The 22,636-nt window shown below is 43.1% G+C and overlaps 1 protein-coding gene across 53 annotated transcripts in view; it reads left to right on the plus strand.

The window, feature by feature from the left end:
* Positions 1–22,636, plus strand: part of MELK (maternal embryonic leucine zipper kinase) — a 104,788-nt gene that overhangs the window by 39,512 nt on the left and 42,640 nt on the right. For all 53 annotated transcript variants that reach the window (NR_046337.2, XM_011518076.3, XM_047424171.1 and 50 more), the window contains 2 exons: positions 17,893–17,961; positions 20,696–20,794. Coding sequence is in view for 52 of the 53 variants with exons in the window: in XM_011518076.3 (XP_011516378.1) it covers positions 17,893–17,961; positions 20,696–20,794 (168 nt within the window). In the remaining variant the exon portion in view is untranslated. The remainder of the gene's footprint in view (positions 1–17,892; positions 17,962–20,695; positions 20,795–22,636) is intronic.

Genomic DNA, 22,636 nt, shown 5'->3' on the forward strand with positions numbered 1-22,636 from the left:
ACAAAGCCTTGCTCTGTTGCCCAGGCTGGAGTGCAGTGGCGCCATCTTGGCTCACTGCAAGCTCTGCCTCCTGGGTTCAAGCAATTCTCCTGCCTCAGCCTCCCAAGTAGCTGGGATTACAGGCGAGTGCCACCAAGCTCAGCTAATTTTGTATGTTTAGTAGAGATGAGGTTTCACCATGTTGGCCAGGCTGGTCTCGAACTGACCTCAAGTGATCCTCCTGCCTTGGCCTCCCAAAGAGGCTGGGATTACATGCATTTCTAAATGAGATTTGCCAGTATTTTGTCCAGGACTTAAAATTGGCTCAAAAATTAATGTGTACTTTTTTGGGAACTATCTTTGTATGTTTGGTTTTGGTTTCATGATTTGTATTAGCCCCATAAAGTTACATTGGGGAGTATTCTTTCTTTTACTTTTCTTGGGGAGAGCTTGACAATTTTTTTGTGGATGTTTTGTAGAATGTGCTTGGAAGTTCAACTCCACCTGTGCCTTCTTTATGGAAAGATTTTTAACTAACATATAACATTTAACTAACATAGATCATAACATTTCATTTGAAGCTCTCTAGTGGCCTCTTTCTCATCTCGAGTACAAGCCAGTGTTTGCCCTGTGTGCTGTGGGTTTTCCCCCGTGTAATGTGGCCTCCCATCACCTCACTGCCCTCATGGTCTACTCCCTGCCTCACTTGTGCCACCCACATTGTCCTCCTTGTTGTTTCTTTTTTCCCCTTTTCCTGGAACACGCTAAGGTGTGCCTGCCTCAGGGCATTTGTACTTACCCTTTCACCTGAAATGGTTTTCTCCCGGAGAGATGCTTTGTTCCCTCCCTTCTTTCAGGTCTCTGTTCAAATGTTCTCTAATCAGAAAGACAACCACTTGTTTATGTGTTCATTTGTTTGTTCATTTACTCATTTATTCGATGTCATTTCACCTTAGGGAGGAGTAAAATAGTTACCAAACACCTAATATGTGCCAGGCACTTTTCTAGATGTGTGGGGTATATCTGTGAATAAAACAGATGAAAGATCCCTGTCCTCGTGGAGTTTATCTTCTAGTAGTGGGGATGTAGAGAAAGACAATAAGCATAACAAGTAAATTTTACTAAAAGATGATATGTACTTTGGAAAAGAGAAAAAAATTGAGTAGGATGAAGAGGAATCAGGAGTACAGATGGGGGAGTTGTGGAGGAAAGGGCCAGTAGGTTGCATGATTAAATAAGGTGGTCAGGATAAACTTCATGGAGGCGAGATGTAAGGAGACTTGAGGGATGTGAGAGTGTCAAGTGGATATCTAGGAGAAAAATATTTCCGGCAGAGGGAACAGCTAGAGCAAAGACTGGGAGGTAGGAACATGCCTGGTGTTGTCAAGGGAGGGTGAGAGGGCCAGTGCAGCCTGAGTTTAGCAAGTGAGGAGGGCAGTAGGAAAGGAAACCTTGGGAACAGGAGTCAAGCTGCTTTGGGCTGGGTAGGCTCTCATAAGGACTTTGGCATTTTTTCTACGTGAAATGGGGAGCCATTGGAGGCTTTTGAGGACATGATTTGGTTTAGTTTTTAACAGGATCACACTGGCTGCTATGTGGAGATGACTGTAGGAAGTGAAGAGAACCAGGGCATCTGGTCAGGAGGATATTGTAATGATTCAGATAAGAGATGGTGGCAGTGGAGGTGGTAAAAAGTGGGTAGATACTAGATGTCTTTTTTTTTTTTTTTGAGACAGAGTCTCGCCCTGTCGTCCAGGCTGGAGTGCAGTGGTGCGTCTTGGCTCACTGCAACCTCCGCCTCCTGGGTTCAAGTGATTCTCCTGCCTCACCCTCCTGAGTAGCTAGGATTATAGGTCCTTGCCACCATGCGTGGCTAAGTTTTGTAGTTTTAGTAGAGATGGGGTTTCGCCATGTTGGCCATGTTGGTCTTGAACTCCTGACTCAGGTGATTCACCTGCCTCGGCCTCCCAAGGTGCTGGGATTACAGGTGTGAGCCACTGCTTCTGGCCTGGATGTCTTTTTTAAAAAATTATTTTTGGGTTTTTTTTTTTTTTTTTTAATTTATTTTTTTATTGATAATTCTTGGGTGTTTCTCACAGAGGGGGATTTGGCAGGGTCATGGGACAATAGTGGAGGGAAGGTCAGCAGATAAACAAGTGAACAAAGGTCTCTGGTTTTCCTAGGCAGAGGACCCTGCGGCCTTCCGCAGTGTTTGTGTCCCTGATTACTTGAGATTAGGGATTGGTGATGACTCTTAACGAGCATGCTGCCTTCAAGCATCTGTTTAACAAAGCACATCTTGCACCGCCCTTAATCCATTTAACCCTGAGTGGACACAGCACATGTTTCAGAGAGCACAGGGTTGGGGGTAAGGTCACAGATCAACAGGATCCCAAGGCAGAGGAATTTTTCTTAGTGCAGAACAAAATGAAAAGTCTCCCATGTCTTCTACTTTCTACACAGACACAGCAACCATCCGATTTCTCAATCTTTTCCCCACCTTTCCCGCCTTTCTATTCCACAAAGCCCCCATTGTCATCCTGGCCCGTTCTCAATGAGCTGTTGGGCACACCTCCCAGACGGGGTGGTGGCCGGGCAGAGGGGCTCCTCACTTCCCAGTAGGGGCGGCCGGGCAGAGGCGCCCCTCACCTCCCGGACGGGGCAGCTGGCCGGGCGGGGGGGCTGACCCCCCCCCCACCTCCCTCCCGGACGGGGCGGCTGGCCGGGCAGAGGGGCTCCTCACTTCCCAGTAGGGGCGGCCGGGCAGAGGCGCCCCTCACCTCCCGGACGGGGCGGCTGGCCGGGCGGGGGGCTGACCCCCCCACCTCCCTCCCAGACGGCACGGCTGGCCAGGCGGGGGGCTGACCCCCCCACCTCCCTCCCAGACGGCACGGCTGGCCAGGCGGGGGGCTGATCCCCCCACCTCCCTCCCGGATGGGGCGGCTGGCCGGGCGGGGGGCTGACCCCCCCACCTCCCTCCCGGTCGGCACGGCTGGCCGGGCGGGGGGCTGACCCCCCCACCTCCCTCCCGGACGGCACGGCTGGCCAGGCGGGGGGCTGACCCCCCCACCTCCCTCCCGGATGGGGCGGCTGGCCTGGCGGGGGCTGACCCCCCCCCACCTCCCTCCCGGACGGGGTGGCTGCCGGGCGGAGACGCTCCTCACTTCCCAGATGGGGTGGCTGCTGGGCGGAGAGGCTCCTCACTTCTCAGACGGGGTGGTTGCCAGGCAGAGGGTCTCCTCACTTCTCAGACGGGGCGGCCGGGCAGAGACGCTCCTCACCTCCCAGACGGGGTCTCGGCCGGGCAGAGGCGCTCCTCACATCCCAGATGGGGCGGCGGGGCAGAGGCGCTCCCCACATCTCAGACGATGGGCGGCTGGGCAGAGACGCTCCTCACTTCCTAGATGTGATGGCGGCTGGGAAGAGGCGCTCCTCACTTCCTAGATGGGATGGCGGCCGGGCGGAGACGCTCCTCACTTTCCAGACTGGGCAGCCAGGCAGAGGGGCTCCTCACATCCCAGACGATGGGCAGCCAGGCAGAGACACTCCTCACTTCCCAGACGGGGTGGCGGCCAGGCAGAGGCTGCAATCTCGGCACTTTGGGAGGCCAAGGCAGGCGGCTGCTCCTTGCCCTCGGGCCCCGCGGGGCCCGTCCGCTCCTCCAGCCGCTGCTTCCCGGGCGGCGCTCGCCGGCGCGGTGGCAAAGAAAAAAATTATTTTTGTATTAACAAAATTAAAAGTAAAAGTAGACCTGTATATACAAAGGGTAAAGTAAAATTGACCCTTTGTATATACAGTAAAATTGACCCTTTGTATATACAGGTCTATGAATTCTAACACATATATAGATTCATATAACCATTGCCACAGTCAGAATGTAGAACAGTCTGGATGTCTTTTGAAGGCATAGCTAACATGATTTGTGCATGGATTGGATGAGGGGAGTAACCCGAGTAGCTAGAAAGTTGGAAAATTATTAAAGGTATCTAGCATGTCAAACTCTTTTTTTTTTTTTTTTTTTTAAGGCAGAGCCTTACTTTGTCACCCAGGCTGGAGTGCAGTAGTGTGATCTCGGCTCACTGCAACCTCTACCTCCCAGGTTCAAGCGATTCTTCTGCCTCAGCCTCCTGAATAGCTGGGATTACAGGCTCCCACCACCGCGCCTAGCTAATTTTTGTAGTTTTAGCAGAGATGGGGTTTCACCATGTTGGACAGGCTTGTCTCGAACTCCTGACCTTAGGTGATCAGCCTGCCTCAGCCTCCCAAGTGTTGGGATTACAGGCGTGAGCCACCGCGCCTGGCCATAAAACCTGTTTTCTTAGAGGCAATCATTGCTATCACGTTTATCAGATTTTTACGTATTTTTTTCAGACATTAGCCTGCATATGTAAGGAATTTTATATTTATATATTTTCTCTTTCTGCTACCCCCTTCCCAGTTTTTTTTTTTTTTTTTTTTACACAGATGGTAGCATACCATAAACACTGTTCTGCACTTTGTTTTCCTCCCTTAGCAGTGTGTCTTGGAAATCATAGCACTTCATACCCACCTCAGAGCCTCTTCATTCTTTTTATGACTGCATAGAATTGCATTGTATGCATGTACCATAATTTATTTAACCAGTCCTAGGTTAATGGACATTTAAGTAATTTCCAAGTAGTCATTTGTACATTGTGAATATAATAAATCTGTAAGAAAATTTCTAGAACAGTTGGTGGGTCAAAGATATGTGAATTAGTAATTTTGATAGATATTGCCAAATTGCTTCCCAGTAAAGTCCTATTGGTTTATGCAACTACCAACAGTAGCATAATAATGCCAGTTTCTCCATACCCCCCCACCAATACAGTGTATCACTGTTTTTGATTGTTATGTTTAAGACTTATTTTTGCTGTGCAGGAATTTTTAGTTTTTATTTAGTGAAATTCATCAATCTTTTTCTTTTTTTCTTTCTTTTTTTTTTTAGAGACAGGGTCTTGCTCTGTCACCCAGGCTGGAGTGCAGTGGTGCAGTCATAGTTCATTGCAACCTCAATTTCCTGGGCTCAAGTGATCCTCCAGCCTCAGCCTCCTGAGTAGCTGGAACTACAGGCGTGCGCTACCACACTTGGCTAATATTTTTTGTAGAGATAAGGTCTTGCTATATTGCTGAGGCTTGTCTCTGGCCTCAAGTGATCCTCCCACCTTGGCCTCTCAAAATGTTGGGATTATAGGCATGAGCCACTGTGCCCAGCCTGTCAATTTTTTATTGTCATATTTGGAAGGGCTTTTTGACTTTATTTTTTAAAATATCTGTGTTTTCTTCTAGTGTTTTTATGGTTTCACTTTTTAAAAATGTTTAAATGTTTGATTCATCTAGAATTTGCTTTAGTATGTTTTCTTGACTTTAAACATCATAAAAAAAACTGTAGAGATTTGCTTTCACATTCTGGATTCTGGATTTTAAAGATCTAATTGTAGACCAGGTGTGGTGGCTCGTGCCTGTAGTCCCAGCACTTTGGGGGGCTGAGTTAGGGACATGGCTTGAGGCCAGAAGTTTGAGACCAGCCTGGGCAACATCGTGAGACTCCGTCTCTACAAAAAATAAAAAAAAAATTAGCTGGGCATGGTGGCATTTGTCTTTAGTCCTAGCTACTCAGGAGACTGAGGTGGGAGGATTGCTTGAGCCTAGGAGTTCAACGCTGCAGTGAGCTATGATTGCACCATTGCATTCCAGCCCAGGCCATAGACTCCATGTCTTTAAAAAAAAAAAAAGGGCCCAGTGGCTCACTTCTGTAATCCCAGCACTTTGGGAAGCTGAGGTGGGCAGATCACTTGAGGCCAGGAGTAGCCTGGCCAACATGGTGAAACCCCATCTCTACTAAAAATACAAGAATTTTCTGGTCGTGGTGGTGCATGCCTGTAATCCCAGCTACTTTGGAGGCTGAGGCATGAGAATCATTTGAACCTGGGAGGCAGAGGTTGCAGTGAGCTGAGATTGCGCCACTGCACTCCAGCCTGGGTGACAGACAGAGGCTCCTCAAAAAAAAAAAAAAAAGAAAAAGAAAATTGAATCATGATGTCAACGTAGCCATATATACTTAAGATTTGAGGTTCATTTTTAACAATAGTGTATATAAGTCCTTATTTAAAATAGTCTTGCTAATTTCAAGTTTTGCAGACAACTTGTTAAATCTAATTAGGTATTTTTTTAACTTTGTGTTTTGGTTGATATCCTAAAAGTAGAAGTGTCAGCTCCATTACTGTTTGCTTGTATTCATAGTCTTCAATCTGTGGTTTCTTTGCAAGAGTTTTGAGCCACTTGTCTATTCAATGAGGATTTAGCTTCATTAAACCGTATACTATAATCTGTAAATCCATGTAACTGTGCTCCTGTAAAGCACTGCTTTGCAATACCATTCTTTCTTAAGAGTGTCTCATAGTGTAGGTTATATAGGGACTAGTGAGCGTACTAGTGCCGATCCATGTACTAAATATTAACAAAGCTCAATTTCTTATTTATTAGATAGATAGAAAATTAATATAAATCTTTGAAGACCGCCAGTCAAGAATGAGTGAATGGTCAACTCTAAGTATTTTTTTTTTTTTTTTTGAGACGGAGTCTTGCTCTGTTGTCCAGGCTGGAGTGCAGTGGCACGATCTCAGCTCACTGCAACCTCCGCCTCCCAGGTTCAAGCAATTCTCCTGCCTCAGCCTCCCAAGTAGCTGGGATTACAGGCGTGTACCACTACACCTGGCTAATTTTTGTATTTTTAGTAGAGACAGTGTTTCACCATGTTGGTCAGGCTGGTCTTGAACTCCTGACCTCAAATGATTCACCTGCCTCAGCCTCTCAAAAGTGCTGAGATTACAGGCATGAGCCACTGTGCTGGCCTAACTCTACGTATTCTTTAGGCAGTCCCTTGATAAGTATAATACCTCTCAGCCAGGTTATTGAGTGTCAGTCAATTAGGGATTATTCTACCTGGAAATTACTTGAAGTTATGGGTATTCTGTGATGCTGAATAAGAACAAGAGGGGCCATGAGTATAACTGGGGCTAGGATTGGCATTCTTCTGTAAACATTGAGCCTTCTAACCATACTTACTTCTTGGTTATGAGATACTATGCCATAAAGGATAACTAGAGTCATTTTATCCAGCTAAAATTTTGCATATTCACCTTGACCATAAAAAGTCTCAATAAAGATGTATGATGTGTAAAACAAAATGAGGTATTATGTAGATTTAAAAAAAAATGGAATGATAAAGTTTTCAGTGAGTTTTGAACCCCCCAAAAATATGTAGAGAGTGGGGGAGATGCCTTCTGCAGGCCAGGTCTAAGTGTCTGTAGGTGTCCAGAAATGGAGTTCTGTGTTTGAGTTGTGCTGAATGAAATCTCTTCTGTCTAGAGCATCTGCAGCAGTCTTTTGGTGGTTTAATTCTTTCTGCTTTTTTCTCTACTTCCTTGTTTCCCCCCTCCAAATGGATAGAGCTTTCTGAAGTGTGTGTGTTGCATATCTTTGTGGCTATTGCACATGGTTGATCAGAAAAAATAAAATGTTTGCTGGCGTGCATATTCTCATCCTTTTGTCACAAAAGTAATACTTAACATGCATGAGTTTTGTTACTTACCAGGCTGTGCTCTAAATGAGGTGGTTGCTATTATTGTCTTCCTCTTACAGATGAAGAAATGAAGGGACAGAGACCTTAAATAACTTATTCAGGGTCTTATAGCTAGTGAGTAGCAGAGCTGGGATTTGAACCCTAGCAGTCAAGCTGGCAGCCCATTCTTATAACCACAATGAAATATTGTTTCTCAGCTCTGTAGTTGCTAGTCACCTAAGAATCACAGATGCCTAGAGGAAGAAGGATCCCCTCCCAAGCATCTTTTTATGCTTATTAATTTGGGAAATTTCCCAGACATCCCATCTTTTCTGATTTACTAAGGCTACAAGTTAGTTCTCCCAATTCATTTAGGTATTACTGTGCATAGGCTTTCCCACGCATTTTAGGTGTCACCCCGCAAGGATACTTACTGGTCCTTGTTTCCTTCATCAGCAGCATTAGAGCATTGCAGTAATCAGTTATTTTCAAGATCCATTCCAGCTCTGAGTAGCTATAAGTTCTTTGACTTCTGTTTCTTCACATTCAATTTTTCTTGTTTCAGCCTAGCATTCTCTTCCTTTTTTTTTTTTTTTTTTTGAGATGGAGTCTCGCTCTGTCTCCCAGGCTGGAGTGCAGTGGCGTGATTATTGGCTCACTGCAACCTCTGCCTCCTGGGTTCAAGCGATTCTCCTGCCTCAGCCTCCAGAGTAGCTGGGACTACAGGTGCTCACCACCACACCCAGCTAATTTTTGTATTTTTAGTAGAGACGGGGTTTCACCATATTGGCCAGGCTGGTCTCGAACTCCTGACCTTGTGATCCGCCTGCCTTGGCCTCCTAAAGTGCTGGGATTACAGCCATGAGCCACCGCACCCAGCTGCATTCCCTTCTTTTGAGATTTTGAATCTTGATTCTGCACTCATGTAGTAACAGCTGTCCCTGCCAGCATTGCACCTGCCAACATTTGCACATTTCTTAAATATCCCTAAACTAAGTTGTTCATTAAAAAACTGAATAGAGGCTGGGCGCAGTGGCTCACGCCTGCAATCCCAGCACTTTGGGAGACTGAGGTGGGCGAATCACGAGGTCAGGAGCTCGAAATCAGCCTGGCCAACACGGTGAAACCCCATCTCTACTAAAAATACAAAAAAATTTAGCCGGGCATAGTGGTGCATGCCTGTAATCCTAGGTACTCAGGAGGCTGAAGCAGGAGAATTGCTTGAACCTGGGAGGCGGAGGTTGCCATGAGGTGAGATCACGCCTCTGCCCTCCAGTCTGAATGACAGAGTGAGACTCTGTCTCAGGGAAAAAAAAAAAAAAAAAAAAAAAAAAAAAAAAAAAAAAAAAACTTGAGTAGAACAGAACCACTCCCTAAGTGTTCCGAGTATTGGTTTTTAGTTTTATTCTGTTTCAGCTATGCTTAACTAAGATTTTGTAGACTTACCCACAAAGATAAGTAACTGTTATTTTACTTACCTACCACACCCAGCTAATTTTCGTTATTATACTTCTTTTAGACCAAGAAACTAAAGCACAGCAAGGTTAAATAGCTTGTATAAGGTCACACAGCTAGTAAGAGGTAGATCCTGGATTTGAACCTAGCCAATTTGTTTTCAGAGCCTTTCTTAGGAAACAGGGCCAGAGAGACTGAATACCTTACCCTGTTAATACCTTACTGAAATGGAACTATTCATGGTGATCCTAATTTATTGACTTAACTCTAACCTTTGCTATATTTTTACCTGTCTGGACCTTAATCCTCTATGCTGTTTATTTGTCTTCATTTGTTGTTACTGCAAGTTCACATTCATATGGCAGCCATGGAATTCATACTATTATCAGTATATTGTTTCATCAATAAAAGGTGAATGTACCAACATACAAACTTCAGTGTTTTCTACTTTTATTTATTTGAATGCACTAGTAGATCCTAGATTAATCCTTTGAGGGAGAGAGCTTACCTTAAAATAATAAAAAAGTATATCCTAATAGTATATGTGAGATTCAAGTTCTGATATTTTTGAAAAATCAAATATCTTTGCAGTGGAATGAATATGGTAGAAAATGTCTAATTCTTGTTCAGTGGAGATTTGGCCTTCCTAATTAATAGTATTTACTAATACTTGTATATTCTTTGTTTCTCCTACTCTGAATTTCATTTTTTAGTTTTTCATGTATTTGCAAGTTGAAAATTGATTCAAATTAGGACTTTTATGCATTATTGTGGAATTTAATTTCACACATTATAGATTTTGAAATTTATTGTAATCTTGGCTCAGAACTATTGTTCCGAGTCGCAGTGTAATACAGTCTGCTGGTTGAATCTAATTAAGGTGTCGTATCACTTGCATGCAGTATGTATCTTTGCCTAGAATGTTCTAAAATTCCTCACTTGGGAATAACACTTTCCTCAGTTCTTGGTTTGATTGAAAAACCCAGCAATATTTGACGCACCGTATGTAACTCTTGTTTAAAAGGCAGACTTCGTTTATCTTTTGCATTTGTTGACTATTTTAACCAAAATGCTCAACTGCACTTTCTAGCATGATTACTAATGGCTTGAGTATTAATCTTATTAATGTTACCTATATTCATTTGTCATCACTGCATTCAAAGACAAGCACGAGTGTACTCCAGCTGTGGTATACAAATATTAGGGAAGTATAAATAATTTAGCAATTGAAAATTGAGTAGTTTGAAAATAAAATTGCTGCCTAACAATTACAATTTATAATTTTAAGGAAAATGAGCAAGTTGTCTCTTTATGAAATTATATTTTTACAATTACGGAGTTTACTACAGCATTATGATTATGTATTGGTGAGATGGCCTGCCTCTCTTAGAACAGTGTGAAAAACAATTTCAAGCCACTGGAATTCCCAGGATTATTTTGCTTAGTCCATAGATCTTTTCTCCCTCTCTTCACTTGGATTCTCCCACTGTTATCTGTTTCTTGCTCTCCTTTGCAAGTTAATTGTCCCTTAAATAAACAAACACAAATTCTTTAAAGAATAGCAGAAACAAGGGTCCTATCTCTGACCATTTTTTGCTCTGTAACAGTGTTTCTCAACATTAACACTATTGGCATTTGGACCACATAATTCTTTGTTGTAGGGGACTGTCATGCATTGTAGGATGTTTAGCAGCATCCATTACCTTTACCCACTAATTGCTAGGGGTAATCTCCAAGTAGTGACAATTCAGAATGTTTCCATACACTACCAGATGTCCCCTTGTAGGACAAATCATCCCCAGTTGAGCACCAGTGCCCTACAATATTGAACAAGTACTTAATCTCCCTGGCTGACAGTTGGTTTCTCCATTTGTATAATGTGGTTAATAGTCCCTGCCTACTACAGAGGGTAAAATATATGTACAAGTGTTTTGCGCATTTTAAAGCACGGTGTACAAATAAGAGATTTGGTTAAGCCTGGCAGCAGAGCTCATTTTTGGACTCTATTTTGGCCAGTATTTCAGCACAGAGAATGAAGTTGAGAATGTCAGGACATGGTAATGAGTCACAGGCCTTATGACCCACTTGTGGATGATACTCTACAGAGGTGTTCTGCCCAAATAGGGGAATTGGATGGGGACATTGCAGGAGGTGATGTGAACAGGGCTTGCCTAGACGATGTGTACCTTACCAGACAATCCTGAGATTCTGAGATAGCTGCAGTGGGGCAGTGCTCCATTGGGAAGGCCTATGACATTCCTCAGAATGCCTTTAGCCTTTCTTGCTGCACTGAGTATTTAGCACTTTTGGATACAAGGCTTTTGGCCAATGTGTCCATCTCTGGCCCTCAAAAAAGGAATACTACTTTTTGAATATTCCTATCTCCTGTTTATTTCAGATTCAATACATATTTATTGTCTCTTACATGCAAGGCAGTATGCCGAGTGCTTTCACATATATTCTGTTGGTTTATAATCCTGTAAGTGGCATTAGTTGTATCGCAGATAATAATAATGGTAGTAATAGTATCAGCAGCAGCAGTCGAAGCTAACATTTATCAAGCTCTTACTGTGTCCATGGTACTGTGCTAAATGCTTTATGTATACTAAATCATTGAACCCTAGCAAAATTTCTATGCAGTAGGTATCGTTATTATACTTCTTTTTTTTTTTTTTTTTTGAGATGGAGTCTCGCTCTGTCGCCCAGGCTGGAGTGCAGTGGCGTGATCTCGGCTCACTGTAACCTCCACCTTCCGGGTTCAAGTGATTCTTCTGCCTTAGCCTCCCAAGTAGCTGAGACTACAGGCACGTGCCACCACACCCAGCTAATTTTTGTTGTTATACTTCTTTTTTTAGATGAAGAAAGTAAAGCACAGCAAGGCTAAATAGCTTGTATAAGGTCATACAGCTAGTAAGAGGTAGATCCTGGATTTGAACCTAGCCAATTTGTTTTCAGAGCCTTTCTTAGGAAACAGGGCCAGAGAGATTGAATAACTCTTACAAGCCCATGGAGCCAGTAAGAGGCGGAACTGGGATTCAAATATAATATATGACTCCAATCCATTCCTGTTCCAATGTGCCAAACACCACACTTCTCATTCACTTGTTTTCTCTGCTTCTTTCTGGATAGGATTGCTTCCATGGTGCCAGCTTATAGCAAAGCACAGGGGAATCTATTAAAAGATACTTTAAGAATTCAAAATAGGTTGATAAAAAGGGGTGATAAAAAGGCAAAGAGGAATTTGGAATCAGTATGGTAGAGCTCTCTTTATTTAGTACTTTGGTCTGAGTATTTATTTTTACATTTGGTTTCTGTGGAGTACTCCTACTTTTAGTTAAGAGTACTTTTCAGAATTGAAAGGCATAATGTCTCCTATTATGATAGTTTCAGAATTTAAAGGCATAATGTCTTTTTTATTATGATAGATCTGGTTATGGGCCTGTTATTTGTGTGTTGGAGCAGACCAGAAAGGGCTGAAACCTGGAATCAGACTTGTCCTTGAGGTGGACAGATGCTGGTATGGGGGAGGTGATGTGAAGCAGCTAAACCCTCATAGATAGTGTATGAGTTTCCTAGGGTTGTTGTAACAAAATACTGGAGAGTGATGGGTTAAAACAACAGAAATCCATTCTTGTGCAGTTGGAGGGATACTGTTCAACCCAGTACAGATAGTGTCCAGAGAGTAAGCAGCAAACGGCTTTGCAAACAGCAGAGGGAAGACCACCCAGAGTACAGGGAATGAAGCTGATAGAGGACACTCTAGGAGCAGGCTGTGATCAGAGACTCAGGCAGCTCACGGCCTTTTGATCAGCACATAGGAAGCTCTTTGTTCCAAGCTGATCTCCACTCTCTATGGGACCCTGGCAAGAGCAAGCTGAAATATTTGAGACCGGGCAAATAAGCAGTTTGCCAAGAAAGAGAACAAGGCAAGTCCTCAGGACTGGGATCACGAAAAGCCTGGGTCTCAGGAATAAAGTAAAGCTCAGATACGAGAGTGGGGCCAAGTAGGTCAGGGCCAGTCATGCAGCAACTGTGACTCACTACTGCTGAGTCCCAGAGAGTTGGCTAGAGCATCTAAAACCCCTCCTTCCCAGGGATAGGCATGGAGCCCAGGCAGCAGTGAGCCTTCAGATTGGGGTCCAGTTGGCTGTAGATGAAGCGTGGTAGGGGAGAAATAAATTCAAGGCTTCATTGCTGTAGTTCAAAAACAAACTTTGAGCCAGCTAGGTGGCTCATGCCTGTAATTCCAGCACTTTGGGAGGCTGAGGCGGGTGGATCACCTGAGGCCAGGAGTTCAAGACCAGCCTGGCCAACATGATGAGACCCTGTCTCTACTAAAAATGCAAAAATTAGCCAGTCATGGTGGTGCATGTCTGTAATCCCAGCTACTCAGTAGGCTGAGGCAGAAGAATGGCTTGAACCCTGGAGGCAGAGGTTGCAGTGAGCGAAGATTGTGCCGTGAGACTTCATCTCAAAAAAAAAAAGAAAAAATTATGAAGGGTTACATTCATCGCAGAATTGTTTATGATATAATTAGGAATTGGTCTATGACAAACTCCAGAGGGCCTCCAAAATGAATGAAAGACAAAATGCACTGAATAAGGGTTCTAGGTTAGAAATATAAGTGCAAGTGTGGCAGGCCAGGTCTCACTAATGCAGGCCTCCATTACAACTGTCCCAGCACTGACTGAGTGGCTAGGTTATACACTAAAAGCTGATTGAGCCAGTGCCCTTATACCAAGGCTGGAATGTAACAAAGAGCCCACCAAGAGTTTTGCCTAGGCTTTTCCAGGGCCTTGAAGCATGACAAGATAACGAAGGAATTCTTCTCAGGACCCTTTTAGGATGAAACAAATTTTTTGGGGGTCTGAAGAAAGCACAAACAATTTCTTTGGAGTCTAAAGGAACTCCCCAAACCTTTATGATTTAGCAGGATACAAGATAAGGGTAATCACCCTAGCACCTAGACCCATTTAGATTAAGTAAACTTACTGAGGCTCCAGAAGGTCTTCGGGACTCAGACCTTAGTTATAGCTTAAAAGAAGTTAGTCACTTACGTTTTTAGATAAATGCACACTTACACGTAGACATATAGCTTAGAAGGTGTATAGGCTCTGGAGAACTTTGTAATTTTGAGTTGGTCTGGTGATAATTTCCAGGCCTTTTCCCTGTGGCTGGTTACAGAAATAAAAACTCTTCCTCCCCAGTTCATCTATATCTTGTTATTGGGCCTCAAGAAATAGCAGCCCAAGAGGCCGGGCATGGTGGCTCACGGCTGTAATCCCAGCACTTTGGGAGGCTGAGGCGGGCGGATCACCTGAGGTCAGTAGTTCGAGATCAGCCTGACCAACATGGTGAAACCCTATCTCTACTAAAAATACAAAAAATTAGCTGGGGGTGGTGGCAGGCACCCGTAATCCCAGCTACTCTGCAGGCTGAGGCAGGAGAATTGCTTGAACCCGGGAGGCAGAGGCTGCAGTGAGCCAAGATCACTCATTGCATTCCAGCCTGGGCAACAAGAGTGAAACTCCATCTCAAGAAGAAAAAAAAAAAAAAAAAGAAAAGAAGTAGCAGCCTGACCCTCAGTTTAGTCTGGGAACACAAAGAAGACAAGGACAAGCACAAGCGCAAACACACACACACACACACACACACACACACACACACGCCAACTGTAAATGAATGCGGCTAGAAGGATGGAGGCAGATAGGTGAGGAAGCCATTGACTTGTACCAGCATTGGGGTTCTCTGTTCTTATGAACTGTCTAGGATATAATTCTTACAGAATCAGTCCACCTTAAAGGTGAAGTGGAAAACAGACAGGTATGGATCACTCAGAGTCCTAAGATGTTATGGCAGGCTGGCTTTCAATTATGTTAAAGAAGTAATGAAAGTCCCAGAGAAGCATTGTCAAACAATGAATCTAAAAAGAAAGGGTCAAAAATCAGCCTCTCTGATGAGAGTAGATGGACTGACCTACAAGTGTTTCCTAGGAAGAACAGTAGCTTTCATTTTACAAATGACTTTTAATATTATTACATTTTTATTCCCTTTATCGAAAGCACTCAGTATTACCCAGAGAACCCATTCTCTCTCTCTCTCTTTTTTTTTTTTTTTTTGGAGACAAGAGTTTTGCTCTTGTTGCCCAGGCTGGAGTGCAATGGCGCGATCTCGGCTCACTGCAACCTCTGCCTCTCTGGTTCCAGTGATTCTCCTGCCTCAGCCTCCTGAGTAGCTGGGAATTATAAGTGCCCGCCACCACACCTGGCTAATTTTGTATTTTTAGTAGAGACGGGGTTTCTCCACATTGGTCAGGCTGGTCTCAAACTTCCGACCTCAGGTGATCCGCCCATCTCAGCCTCCCAAAGTGCTGGGATTACAGGCGTGAGCCACTGTGCCCAGCCTGAGAGCCCATTCTTATTTATCCCTTGCCAGGGCACCTTAACACTTGCCAGAGACAGAAACTGACAAAGTCTTTTTTGTTTGTTTTGTTTTTGAGACGGAGTTTCACTCTTGTTGCCCAGGCTGGAGTACTATGGCACAATCTTGGCTCACTGCAACCTCCACCTCCCGGGTTCAAGTGATTTTTCTGCCTCAGCCTCCTGAGTAGGTGGGATTACAGACATGCGCCACCACGCCTGGCTAATATTTTGTATTTAGTAGAGACGGGGTTTCACCATGTTGGTCAGGCTGGTCTCAAACTCCTGACCTCGGCCTTCCAAAGTGCTGGGATTACAGGCATGAGCCACTGTGCCTGGCTCAGAGTTTGTTTTTGAATTGTAGCAATGAAGCCTTGAATTTATTTCTCCCTACCAAGCCTCATGTATGGCCAACTGGACCCCAACCTGAAGGCTCACTGCTGCCTGGGCTCCATGCCTATCCCTGGGAAGGAGGGGTTTTAGATACTCTAGCCAGCTCTCTGGGAGTCAGCAGTAGTCAGTGACAGTTGCCTGTGACCTTTGGAAAAGGCTTTTTCTCAATTTGTTGTTAACTTTGTTAATGAATTTTTTTTTTTTGAGACGGAATCTTGCTGTATTGGCAGGCTGGAGTGCAGTGGCGTAATCTCAGCTCACTGCGACCTCCACCTCCCGGATTCAAGCAATTCTCCTGCCTCAGCCTCCCGAGTAGCTGGGACTACAGGTGCGTGCCACCACGCCCGGCTAATTTTTGTATTTTTAGTAGAGACGGGGTTTCACCATGTTGGCCAGGATGGTCTTGATCTCTTGACCTCGTGATCCACCTGCCTCAGCCTCCCAAAGTGCTGGGATTACAGGCGTGAGCCACCACATCCGGCCAATGATGTTTTGTTATACAGAAATATCAAACGTTAATTTTGTCATATATTACTCTTTATAGTTGTTGGCTTTGCTGTCATGTCTAGAAAGATTCTAAAAATAATCACTCATACTTTCTTTAAGTACTCTTATGGTTTTGTATTTTCTTTTTTTTTTTTTTTTTTGAGACGGAGTCTCGTTCTGTCGCCCAGGCTAGAGTGCTGCAGTGACACGATCTGGGCTCACCGCAACCTCCGCCTCCTGAGTTCAAGCAGTTCTCCTGCCTCAGCCTCCCTAGTAGGTGGGACTACAGGTGCCCGCCACCATGCCCAGCTAATTTTTGTATTTTTAGTAGAAACAAGGTTTCCCTGTGTCAGCCAGGATGGTCTTGAACTCCTGACCTCGTGATCCACCTGCCTTGGCCTCCCAAAGTGCTGGGATTACAGGTGTGAGCCACCACGCCCAGCCTGGTTTTGTATTTTCATTTAATCTGGGTGGAATTAATTTTGGTATGTTCTATGAATTACAGTTCAATCAATTTCTCTCAAATAATTAACCTGTTATCTTAGCATCATTAAACAATGTGATTTCTGCTGTGAGAAACTGTTGTATTGCTTCCTCTGAATTGGGAAAGAGGATGTGTGTGGTAAGTGTGTAAAGAGATATTCTATCATGTATTAGCATTTAGCCAAGTCCCTGATCTTTTCTTTGATGACTTGGTGGCCATAATTTCTGAGTATACTAGGTTGTATACATTTGCCTTCTTAGTCTCTTTTAGTCCTAAAAGAGGTATTTACCTTAGAAAGTGGCTTTCACTAGTTTTCCTCAAAGATTGTGAATTCTGTTTTGTGGATGACCTGTTTTTAACCATAGCCTATGTACTGTCACCAAATATGCTTTTCTGCTGCTTCATTTTGTCAACTGATAATTGCTCTGAAATTATAAACTAATAATTGTTTCAGCAGTATAAAAATAGACTACAGTGTATACTTACTGTCCATTTAATACTACAGATTCCAAAGCTGTATGACATTTTTGTTTTCTACTGTTATGTTCTTTGTGCTCTAGCCCTTCTCTGATATGTGGATAATTTAGAGGCAATGATAGTATTTAATATGCCCGATTTTTTCTTTAAGGCAAGAAATTGTTTTTTTTTTTTTTTTTTTGTGATGGAGTCTCGCTCTGTCACCCAGGTTGGAGTGCAGTGGCACGATCTCGGCTCACTGCAACCTCCGTCTCCTGGGTTCAAGTGATTCTCCTGCCTCAGCCTCCTGAGTAGCTGGGATTACAGGTGCCTGCCACCACGACTGACTAATTTTTGTATTTTTAGTAGAGACAGTGTTTCACCACGTTGGCCAGGCTGGTCTTGAACTCCTGATCTCAGGTGATCTGCCCGCTTTGACCTCCCAAAGTGCTGGGACTTCAGGTGTGAGCCACCACGCCCAGCCAAGAAATTGATTTTTTTTAGTTAATAATGTTTACCAAGTATTGTAGTTGGGTGAAGTCTTCAAGCTTAAAAGTAAACCTCCAGCATGTTATTACCTAAGGAATTTGTGTCAAGGCTGATTGAACCTGAATCTCTTAAATGCTTTGTTTTTGTAGAGAGGAAAATATGATGTTCCCAAGTGGCTCTCTCCCAGTAGCATTCTGCTTCTTCAACAAATGCTGCAGGTAAACTTTATTTTTAAATAATAGAAGTCTATTGTAATTGTTTGGTTCAACTTTTAAGATATCTGTGGTGCTACATCATTTCCTATTAGCTTGAAAAAAATCCCACTCATATCTACCTTGAAAATATCCTCTATTAGATCCTTTCTTAATTATGTTGTAAACCTAGTTTATTTTAGACACCTACCATATGTTATAGCTGGTATGGTTTTTCTTACTTTGCGAATTTTCTGTTTTCTCTAACTAGTTCTTGTTCCACTCTCTTTTATTCCAAAATTATTGATTGATTGATTGATTGATGGAGATAGAGTCTCACTCCTTAGAAGACCCTCAGGTTGGAGTGCAGTGGCGTGATCTTGGCTCACTGCAACCTTCGCCTTCTGGGTTCAAGTGCTTTTTCTGCTTCTGCCTTCCGAGTAGGTGGGATTACAGGTGTGAACCACCATGCCTGGCTAATTTTTGTATTTTTAGTAGAGACAGAGTTTTCCCATGTTGGCCAGGCTGGTCTCGAACTCCTGACCTCAAGGTATCTGCCTGCCTCAGCCTTCCAAAGTGCTGGGATTATAGGCGTGAGCCTCTACACCTGGCCCCAGCTCTTTTTTTTTTTTTTTTTTATTTAGATGGAGTCTCCCTCTGTTGCCCAGGCTGGAGTGCAGTGGCGTGATCTTGGCTCACTGCAACCTTTGCCTCCCAGGTTCAAGTAATTCTCCTGCCTCAGCCTCCTGAGTAGCTAGTACTACAGGCGTGTGCCACTATGCCTGGCTAGTTTTTGTATTTTTAGTAGAGACGAGGTTTCACTATGTTAGCCAGGCTGGTCTCGAACTCCTGACCTCACGTTTTCTGCCTGCCTCGACCTCTCAAAATCCAAAGTGCTGGGATTACAGGTGTGAGCCACTGGCTTTTGTTTTTTTGAGACAGAGTTTTGCTTTGTTGCTCAGGCTGGAGTGCAACGGTGCGATCTTGGCTCACCACAACCTCCGCTTCCTGGGTTCCCAGGTTCAAGTGGTTCTCGTGCCTCAGCCTCCCAAGTAGCTGGGATTACAGGCATGTGCCACCATTCCTGGCCAATTTTTGTACTTTTAGTAGAGATGGGGTTTCACCATGTTGTCCAGGCTGGTCTTGAACTTCTGACCTCAGGTGATCCACCCGCCTTGGCCTCCCAAAGTACTGGGATTACAGGTGTGAGCCACCGCACCCAGCCTGGCCTCTTTTTTTAAAAAAAAATTTTATAGACAGGGTTTTACTCTGTCGCCCAGGCTGGAGTGCAGTCATATGATCTTGGCCCACTACAGCCTTGACCCCCAGGCTCAAGTGTTAGTTCTACTTCAGCCTCCCAAGTAACTGGGACCACTGGTATACACCACCACACCTGACTAATTTTTTGTGTTCTTTCTTTAGTTTTCTTTTTTTTTTGGTTGTTTTTAAATTTTATTTATCACTTCATTCCTTATAATTACTTTCAGCAAACTGTATTTTTTGTAGAGATGGGGTTTCGCTACGTTGCCCAGGCTGGTTTCGAACTCCTGAGCTCAAGCGTTCTGCCTGTCTTGATCTCCCAAAGTGCTGGGATTACAGGTATGAGCCACGGCATCCCGCCTTTTCCCAACTCTTGCTCATTAAGTATGTTAGTAGATACTGAATAAATACTTGAATGAGTTGATGTACTATTGAATGGGCCCTGTTACCTAGTGCAGTGGTTCTCAAACTTCAGCAGATATCAAAATTACCCCGGGCTTGTTAAAATACAGATTGCTGGCCTCCAGCCCCAGAGTGTGTAATTCAATAGATCTGAGGCAGGACTGAAATTTTGCATTTCTAACAAGCTCCCAGAAGATGCTGATGCTGCAGGTCTTGGGGCCACACTTTGAGAACCACAGATTTATTGGAATGAGCCTCTGAGGGTGAAAGATAGGAGTGCTGAAGCCTAGGTAAGCACTCTACCAATTAATCAATGTATCACCTAATCTGATCTATAAAATGGGGGTTCTGAGCCTGGCCTCACTGCTATGTAGTGTTATAAGGACAAAATGAGATTGATAGGAAACACTTTGAAAATATGAGTATCTTCTTAGTGCAATTTTTTTTTCATTATGTATTCAGAATATCTTCTGGTTTTTTCATCTATTAAGTCATCTCCATCTTTTATTCAAAATTTACCTCAGGCTCACTCACCTTGATTAAGTAGGGCCAGACCACCAAATCTCCGTAATGAGATTGAAAATGCCTTACTCTTTCTTCTAGACTCCAAAATAACGTTAATCTTTGTTGATTAATTTTTCTCTCCTTACATTTGAAAATTACAAATGGAAAGGTGTGCTTTTCAACTTGTTCTGTGTGATTGTAAGCTCATTGGAGGTAGAGATTGCATATTCAGTATGAATGCCCTGCATTGTGGCTGCTTGAATGTTTAATTGGTGAATATTTCCCGTGAATAGGTTTTCCAGCAAAAGACTATTACATCATACAATAGATTGAACTTCACGAATAATGTCCATACCAATGAAGTTCATGTTTGTTAAACATTTATCTTCTAAGCCTGTGTTGGTTGCTATAGTTTTCTTGCCTCTGTTGCCTTTTTAAAAGAATTTCTTCCAAGGCCATTTTAAAGTCTTTGACAGCATTTTTGTGATGATAAAGTTTACATCTGTTCTGATGCATTTTTAGTTTTCAGGAGGAAAGGTGTTCTATGTTCTCTATTTGAAATGTTAATCTCTAGCTACTTTTTAATGGCCACTAGGTGGACCCAAAGAAACGGATTTCTATGAAAAATCTATTGAACCATCCCTGGATCATGCAAGATTACAACTATCCTGTTGAGTGGCAAAGCAAGAATCCTGTAAGTAAAATGAAATCCAGTAGAATTTTTTTTTGACTTTGTGTGGTCTTTGGGTGAATTCAGAACCTACAATGATGTGGTCTAAATATACAAGAAAATATATTAATCAGATTGGTGTTTGGGAGACTTGTAACCTAATGGACAGTGGTTCCTTAACCCCATCTGCAAATGAGAATTACCTGGGACCTTAAAAAGAAATGCCTGCTCCCCATCCCAGAACACTTAATGGGAGTTTTTAAAAGCTCCCAGGTGTTTCTCATGTGCAGTCAGTCACAGTGCTCTGGGAATCTTGGACAAGTTACTTAACTTTGCAGAACCTATTTATTCATCTGTAAAAAGTAGGTTAAACCAGTTCTACTTCCCAGAGAAGTTATGAGGGTACAGTAGTTCTCAAACTTTTTAGTTTGAGGATCCCTTTATACTCTTAATATTTATTTATTCATTAAAAACTAATATGATAAAACTATTGCATATTAACACAAATATTTTTATGAAGAATAACCATTTACAAAATAAATTTAGCAAAAAGAATGACATTGTTTTACAACTTTGCAAATTTCTTTAAAGTCTGGCTTAATAGAAGACACCTGTATAGCCACCTGCTTCTGTGTTCAGTCTGTTTTGATAGGTTGTTTTGATTGAAGCCAAGGAATAAAATGCAGCCTCACACAGATATGCAATAGGAAAAGGAAGAAAAATTCTAATAGCCATTCAGACAGTTTCTGATAGCCCATTAAAACTTGACAAATGGTAGTTTCTTAAAGGGTAATTGCATGTGGAATCTGAAGCCATATCAATGAAATTTTGTACTGTATTCCATAAAATCCATTGTTCTGTCCATTGGATCTTTTCCTCACATAACATGATGCATTGGTTATTTGGAAAACACTGGTTTGCTGAGTTATGCAAATCTTCCAAACGTTAACACATTTCGTTATACAACATTAAATCACATTCCTTAAAATCACTACTGATCTCAGTAGAAAAGTCTTTAACTATTGGAAAGCACTCAAGATCATGGTGGCAAATAAAAGTTTTCTAAATTCTAATTTTTGCTTAAAAGCTAAAATTCTATCATTGACAACAAATATGTCATTCTCCTTGAACTGACAAATTCCCTTGGTTCATTTTTGAGAAAATGTCTGCTGAACATTTAAGTCTAAATAACTATAGTTAGTCCGTGTTCTTTCTCATCAAAATGGTGTTCTTTGAAAAAAATGGCTAATTAGGCCAGGCACGGTGGCTCACACCTGTAATCCCAGCACTTTGGGAGGCTGAGGCAGGCGTATTACTTGAGGTCAGGAGTTCCAGACCAGCCTGGCCAACATGGTAAAACCCCATCTTTACTAAAAATGCAAAAAATTAGCTGGCATGGTAGTGCCTATAATCCCAGGTTCTCAGGAGGCTGAGGCAGAAGAATTGCTTGAACTCGGGAGGCAGAGGTTGCAGTGAGCTAAGAGCGCCACCGCACTCCAGCCTTGGGTGACAGAGCGAGACTCTGTTTCAAAAAGAAAAGAGGCTGGGTGCAGTGGCTCACATCTGTAATCCCAGCACTTTGGGATCCCAGGCGGGTAGATTATGAGGTCAGGAGTTCGAGACCAGCCTGACCAATATGGTGAAACTCTGTCTCTACTAAAAATACAAAAATTAGCTGGGCGTGGTGGCACACACCTGTAATCCCAGCTACTCAGGAGGCTGAGGCAGGAGAATAGCTTGAACCCGGGAGGAGAGTGAGACTCCATCTCAAAAGAAAAAGAAAAAGAAAAAAATGGCTAATTGAGCTCATAATTCAGTCATACAGGTGCTTTTCCTCGAGACAGCTATCAAACTTTGGTATTGTAG

Source organism: Homo sapiens, chromosome 9 (genome assembly GCF_000001405.40).
Source record: "Homo sapiens chromosome 9, GRCh38.p14 Primary Assembly".
Classification (NCBI taxonomy): domain Eukaryota; kingdom Metazoa; phylum Chordata; class Mammalia; order Primates; family Hominidae; genus Homo; species Homo sapiens.